Source organism: Homo sapiens, chromosome 11 (genome assembly GCF_000001405.40).
Source record: "Homo sapiens chromosome 11, GRCh38.p14 Primary Assembly".
NCBI classification, from domain to species: domain Eukaryota; kingdom Metazoa; phylum Chordata; class Mammalia; order Primates; family Hominidae; genus Homo; species Homo sapiens.
The window spans coordinates 59,491,653-59,498,955 of record NC_000011.10 but is presented as its reverse complement, the minus strand read 5'-3'; the positions used below and the strand labels follow the sequence as shown (position 1 = coordinate 59,498,955).

Below are 7,303 nucleotides of genomic sequence, written 5' to 3'. Positions count from 1 at the left end.
TATCATACCTTTTTTGTCCAATCCTATTTCTACATGGCTGTCCACACCTTGTTGAACCTAAGCATAAAAATGAACATTTTCCTTGTATCTTTGGGTCTTCATTCTGAGGGCTCCCATGTCATGTAAAACTATGATCAAATAAATTTGTATTCCTTTTCTCCTAATTGTCTGCCTTTGTCAGCTGATTTTCAGTGAACTTTCAGAGGATGAAGGGGAAGTTTTCCCCTGTCCCCTACACTATAAACTTCTTATTTTTGTGTTAGATCTAAAGAAGGGTAGACAGGTGTTTATTGTCTGAGTCTCTCAACTTTTGTGAGCGTTTGTTACTGCAGGTTTAAGTTCAGGGTAAGAATCACCTCTGTTGATTTCAGCCTGAGAAGATCCGTCTAGAGAAAAGAAGACTGAGAAAAATCTCTTCTCTGTACTATTCAAGAGGTCGCAGAAAGCAAAAGCTGCCTTTTCCCCAATTCCAAATTGACCTCAACTCTTTCTCTCATTCCACAACGTACTCTTTGTTACTATTTCTAGCTTATGCTGTCTGTTACTAAAGGAAGGTTCTCCCAGAATGCAGCATCTTGTATACATATTACATTATTTGTAGTCATAGTGTATTTGTGAATCTTAATGATTACATCTAGATTTCAATTTTTTTTCTTATTTCTCACTCTATGCATAAACACCCAGACACCCCAGGCACACACACACATGCAGACTTTTATTTTTTTACCTAAAATCTGCAATCTTCTTCCAAGAATTCCAGCATCTTAAATAATGTTCACATGAATCTCAGGAATCATCCAACTTCAGAAAATTCTGCTCAACACCCCTCTGAAGGCCGGTTATTTCAATGGCATCTCTTCTATCTTAATGTGGAAAGGACTTAGGGAATGATATTTTCTTGGCTCTTCCACACTGATTCACAGTGTCCCATCATATTTACCAGTTCCTTAATCCCAGAACTAGTGTGAGAATTATCAGAGGGATTACAGTTGGATGCAGTTGTGGAAAAATTCTGCTGATGGTGAGGTTGTTTCAGTGGGAGTAATTAAGAAGTCACTCAGACACATATGCTTAGGAACACACATTTTGTCTGGAGCCTAAAATTTTTCAGAGGCAACTGAAAGAATTAATCCCCTTATCTTCTGGCTTCAAAAGGAAGAAAGGTTGTGTGGAAACAAGTCAAGCTGTATTCCTGAGAAAGTCCAAAAAGTGCTGTTCTTGGCGATCAGAGGGCACCCTTCCACGAGTGCCCATGGTGCAGAGAAACTTGGAGGTGACGAGGGCACTGGACTCACTGCCCGGTCTTCCATCCTATTCTATTTCCAAGTCTAACAACTTGCACAAAGAGAACTGGAAATGGAACCTTTAGTAACAAACAGTACATGGGCATGCAAGCTTTGGGGAAGGCTCATCCCTTCTCCAGATCTCAACACTTACTTTACTGACTAGGAATCCCCAGTCTGGGAAGAGGTTGAAGCAGGCACAGGACAGAGTAGTGTGGTTGGCTGTCTATACTAAGAAAAATAAAGTCAAATGAAACGAGACACCAAGATGGCCACACAGTGAGAAATGTGATTCTACTCAATAGCTAGCTTCATTGTTTGACCATCTTTAAGATCTACAGCTTTAAGCTTCTAAAAATGGAATATTGGCCATAATTGCTTCCATTGTTTCCCTTGTTTTTGATGACCTTGACAGTACTGAGAGTCATTGTCAAGTATTGTATAGAACAGGGGTCCCCAACCACCAGGCCATGAACTGTTACCAGCTTTTGGCCTGTTAGAAACCAGGCCACACAGCAGGAGGTGAGTAGGGGGTAAGCAAGTGACAGAAGCTTCATCTGTATTTACAGCTGCTCCTCACTGCTGGCATTACTGCCTGAGCTCCACCTCCTGTCAGATCAGTGGGGACATTAGATTCTTATAGGAGTGGGAACAATACTGTGAACTCTGCATGCAAGGGATCTAGGTTGGTTGCTCCTTATAAGACTCTAACGCCTGATGATCTGTCACTGTCTCCCATCATTCCCAGATGGGACCATCTTGTTGCAGAAAAACAAGCCCTGGGCTACCACTGATTCTACATTATGGCAAGTTGTATAATTATTTCATCGTATATTACATGTAATAATAATAAAGTGCAGGATATATGTAACGCACATGAATCATCCCAAAACCTTCCCCACCACCTTCATTTGTGGAAAAATTATCCTCTGTGAAACCAGCCCATGATGCCAAAAAGGTTGGGGACTGCTGTTATATGATGTTCTTCAGTTTGGCTGGTCCTGATGATTTTCTCATGGTTAGACAGGGGTTGCAGATGTCTGGGAGAAAGAACACAGAGGCCAAATGCCACTCTCATCACATCATATCAAATGGTATGTATTAGTGTGTTTTTGCACTGCTGATGAAGACATACCAGAGACCGGGTACTTATAAAGGAAGGAGGTTTAATTGACTCACAGTTCCACATGGCTGGGGAAACCTCACAGTCATGGCGGAAGGCAAGGAGGAGCAAGTCATGTCTTACATGGTGGCAGGGAAGAGAGAATGAGAACCAAGAAAAAGGAGAAACCCCTTATAAAACCATCAGATCTCGTGAGACTTATTCACTACCATGAGAACAGTATGGAGGAAACCACCCCCATGATTCAATTATCTCCCACCAAATCCCTCCCACAACACATGGGAATTATGGGAACTACAATTCAAGATGAGATTTGGGTGAGGACATAGTCAAACCATATTAGGGTACATGCCACTAACATGATTGATCACTGATGATGTTAACTTTGAACACCCGGCTGAGGTAGTCTTTGTCAGGTTTCCCCAGGATTTTAAAAAACTGTACTCTTTGGAGAGAGGAGATAACTATTTATAACTCACACTTAGAGAGTTGGGGCTGGGTGTGGTGGCCTGTGCCTGCAATTCCAGCAATTTGGGAGGCCAAGGCAGGAGTATTGTTTGAGCTCAGGAGTTTGAAACCAGTCTGGGAAACAGGGTGAAACCCTGTCTCTACTAAAAATACAACAATTAGCCAGGCATGGTGGCACCTGCCTATAGTCCCAGCTACTTGTGAGGCTGAGGTGGGAGGATCGCCTGAGCCTAGGAGGTTGAGGCTGCAATAAGCCAAGATGCACCACTGCCCTCCAGCCTGGGCAACAGAGTGAGATCATGTCTCAATTAAAAAAAAAATCGGGAGTCATGCTCCACGTCCTTGAGGGTGGACAATCTACATACATTATTTGGAATTCTCCTGCATGCAAGACTTGTCTATTATCCTCCATTTATTGATTTATTTAATCGTTTATTTATGACTGGGCTCATGGATATTTATTTTATACTTTGGGTTATAATCCTTGACTACATTATGTATTTTGTCGTTCCAACTTTGGCCATGGGAAATTCTTTCAGTTGGCTCCTGTGCCCCTTTGACATACCTCCACTGTTTTGCTTTTTAAACATTTCCTTGTTTTTTGGTGCTAAAAGGTGCTCCAGGCTTATATTGTATATTCCCTGCCCCAGTCCTAAAATCAGTCATTTCTCCAAGAAAAACTGGTGCCTATGTTAAAAAAAATTTATTAAGTGATTTGAAAATATAAATAAATGACACAATAAATGGTACCAACCAAAGAAAACAAAACAAAAACCTGACTTTTTATATTATTATTTCCAGGTACAGCATTTATTCATGAATATAAAAAGTTAATTTTATTTTAATTTATTTATTTTCCTAGCTTGGATTACCTGGATGCTTTCTGGAGAGCGTGAGTCCTGAAGAAGATTCCACAGCTATACTGACTCCTACAATATGACTAGAAGAGGTTAACCTCTGGCTTCTGCTGGGAAATAAGTTTCTATTCTTGCAGTCCCATGCATGCAAGATGAGTCTGAAGTGTGACACATAAGTACTGGAAGGAGATATTGGATCTGAAGGGATCGTGTAGGTGAGAATGAAGGAACTTTCAATGGCCTGATGACAAAATTGGATGATGGAGTTCTCACGGGATGCATAGTAGTCAGGAAACCTATGTTGGGTTCATCTGCAAATCATGCCAACTTGACCTTCAACGTTTTTCAAACTTCTCACCATGACCACCATTACCATTCTAAGTCATGTCTTCATTCTTTCTCTCATGGGGCTATTATAGTAGGCTCTGAATTGCTGCCTGGTTTTTGTCCTTACACCTCTTCTGCTCCTTGAAGGCCTCCAAATGTGCCACATCTTACTCAGTGTGAAAGCTAAAAGCTGTGCAGTGGTCCACAAAGTTGCGATGAACTGGCCCCATGACCCTACCATCTCTCTGAACTCAACTACAGGCACTTCCTCTCTCTTACTTGCTTCTTCTCACTTAGTCCCAAGGGCCTCCTTGCTGTTTCTTTGACCTTGTGGACACATCCCCATCTCAGGGCCTTTGCATATCTGATTTGTGAATTGAGATTTGTATACCGACATACACATTTTGCTAGTTTCAACAATTTTAAGATATCTAGGATCTACCTCCAGAAATGGGCAAAACAAAAAACAAAAGAATAACTCCCAGCAGCTGTAATAGCACATTAAGTAAACAAATAAAAACCAACTTGATATATCGAATAATATTTTCCATTTTATTCCAGCTTTTTGAATAAGTATGCACAGTCCGAAGCAGCTTCAAAGATTTCAGTCATTTTTAGGAAGTCATGTCTTCAGAGAGTAAAAAATGAATTATTTTCTTTTTTTTTAATGCTTTTTTTTAATTATTATACTTTAAGTTTTAGGGTACATGTGCACAATATGCAGGTTAGTTACATATGTATACATGTGCCATGCTGGTGTGCTGCACCCATCAACTCGTCATTTAGCATTAGGTATATCTCCTAATGCCATCCCTCCCCACTTCCCCCACCCCACAACAGTCCCCAGAGTGTGATGTTCCCCTTCCTGTGTCCATGTGTTCTCATTGTTCAATTCCCACCTTTGAGTGAGAACATGCAGTGTTTGGTTTTTTGTCCTTGTGATAGTTTACTGAGAATGATGATTTCCAATTTCATCCATGTCCCTGCAAAGGATATGAACTCATCATTTTTTATGGCTGCATAGTATTCCATGGTGTATATGTGCCCCATTTTCTTAATCCAGTCTATCGTTGTTGGACATTTGGGTTGGTTCCAAGTCTTTGCTATTGTGAATAGTGCCACAATAAACATACGTGTACATGTGTCTTTATAGCACCATGATTTATAGTCCTTTGGGTATATACCCAGTAATGGGATGGCTGGGTCAAATGGTATTTCTAGTTCTAGATCCCTGAGGAATCGCCACACTGACTTCCACAATGGTTGAACTAGTTTACAGTCCCACCAACAGTGTAAAAGTGTTCCTATTTCTCCACATCCTCTCCAGCACCTGTTGTTTCCTGACTTTTTAATGATTGCCATTCTAACTGGTGTGAGATGATATCTCATTGTGGTTTTGATTTGCATTTCTCTGATGGCCAATGATGGTGAGCATTTTTAATTATTTTCTTAACAATACTTTCCAATGATTTGAGTAGCAGAAATGAGTGAGAGGCAGTAGTCTTTCACTGAATGTTTTAATTCAGTAATTTTCAGTAGCGTTTATTATATTATACTTGTGCCAGGTGTTGGGGATATGACAATAAATAAAGCATAATCCTACTGGGGGAGATTGGGAGAAAGAGAACACGGAATTGAAACAGGGTCCCAAGGGTTGTGCTACAGCCAAGCACAGGCTACTGACGGAATGTCCTGGAGCGGGGGCCAGCAGACCTGGGGTTCAGAGGAAGATCAGGTTAGAACTATGTTCAAGGTCATAGAGGTCACAATAGGTGAGGTCATGTTCTAACTCAAGCTATGCTGATCCAAGCACCTGCTCTCAGCTATCGGTAGGTGGGCTTTAGATTAAAAAATCTAACAGTGATATTTATTTGGTTCATTTACAGGATTGGAGGAGGAACTTAACTTGGATGTGGTTTCTTTAATTAGGATATGATGACTCTGTGAAAGGTCTTATGGAATCCTAATGCCCAAGCTGCATCATATTTCTAATATGTGTCTCAGCTCCCTTCCTGGCAGCAGTAAAGGATTGTAGTGGAAATGTCTGAGTGTATTTTGATTTCATTTCTTTTAGGTTTTCCAAGACTGAATTACAAAAACAATATACACCTCTCCTGCTAACAATTTTATCTCTGTACTTTCTCCTGTGACACAGAACCCATCTTTTTTACATTATTATGACCTGCTAATCAGAATGTTTGAAAGTCATGTGCTTCTTATTAGTAGACTAAAAAATAATTAGAAATCAATTAGTGAGTAGAAAGTATTTGCTGGGCAAGCATTTTCAAAAGTGGTGAGAAGGAGGGAAGCACTGGTCTATTTCCTATCAGAAGGTCAGAGTCTTCAGTCTCTTCATGGTTGACTTCATCTCATGGTTTCTCAGAGTGTAGATCAAGGGTTGAGCAGAGGGGAGATGACAGTGAAGGTGACAGAGATGGCCTTATCCGTGGGGAGGGCAGTGAAAGGCCGGGCATAGACATAGATGCAGGGCACAAAATGCAGGGTCACCACAGTGATGTGGGAGGTGCAGGTGGAGATGACTTTCCTCCTGCCCTATCCTGCCTGAGACTTGAGTAATGATAATATGACCATGTAGGACACCAGGAGCAGGAAAAACCACAGTGTGGTGAGCAGTCCATTGTTGGAAATCATCAACAGCTCAAGTATGAAAATGTCTGTATGGGCGAGTTTGAGAACCTGGGGAACATCACAGTAGAAAGTGTCAAGAACATTTGGTCCACAGAAAGGGAGTGGGAGCAACAGGGTAATCTGCACAATGGAGTGGACAAAGCCCCCCAACCAGGCAGCCACTGTGAGCCCAATGCAACGGTCTCTACTCATGATGGTCGCATAGTGCAGGGACTTGGAAATGGCCACATATTGATCCAATGCCATCACTGATAGAGAAAATGCATCCACCCCTCCAATAAGGTGGAAGAGAAACATCTGAGTGAAGCAACCATTGAAGGAGATGGTCTTTCTCTCAGACAGAAGGTCCACCAGAACCTTGGGCTCTGTGATGGAGTAGAAGCAGATATCGGCAATAGATAAATTATGGAGCAAAAAATACATGGGCATGTGAAGGCAAGATTCACAGGTGACAGTGACCATGATGAGGAGGTTTCCCAGCAGAGTCGTCATGTACACCAAGAGTAGGAAAAGAAATAGGACCAATCTTGTGTCCCCATTCTGGGTTAGGCCAAGGAAAATAAATTCTTTTACCCTGGTACAGTTTTTCATCTCCA

The 7,303-nt window shown here is 41.4% G+C and overlaps 1 pseudogene; it reads right to left on the bottom strand.

Moving 5' to 3' along the window:
• Positions 6,345 to 7,303, bottom strand: OR4D8P (olfactory receptor family 4 subfamily D member 8 pseudogene; annotated as a pseudogene).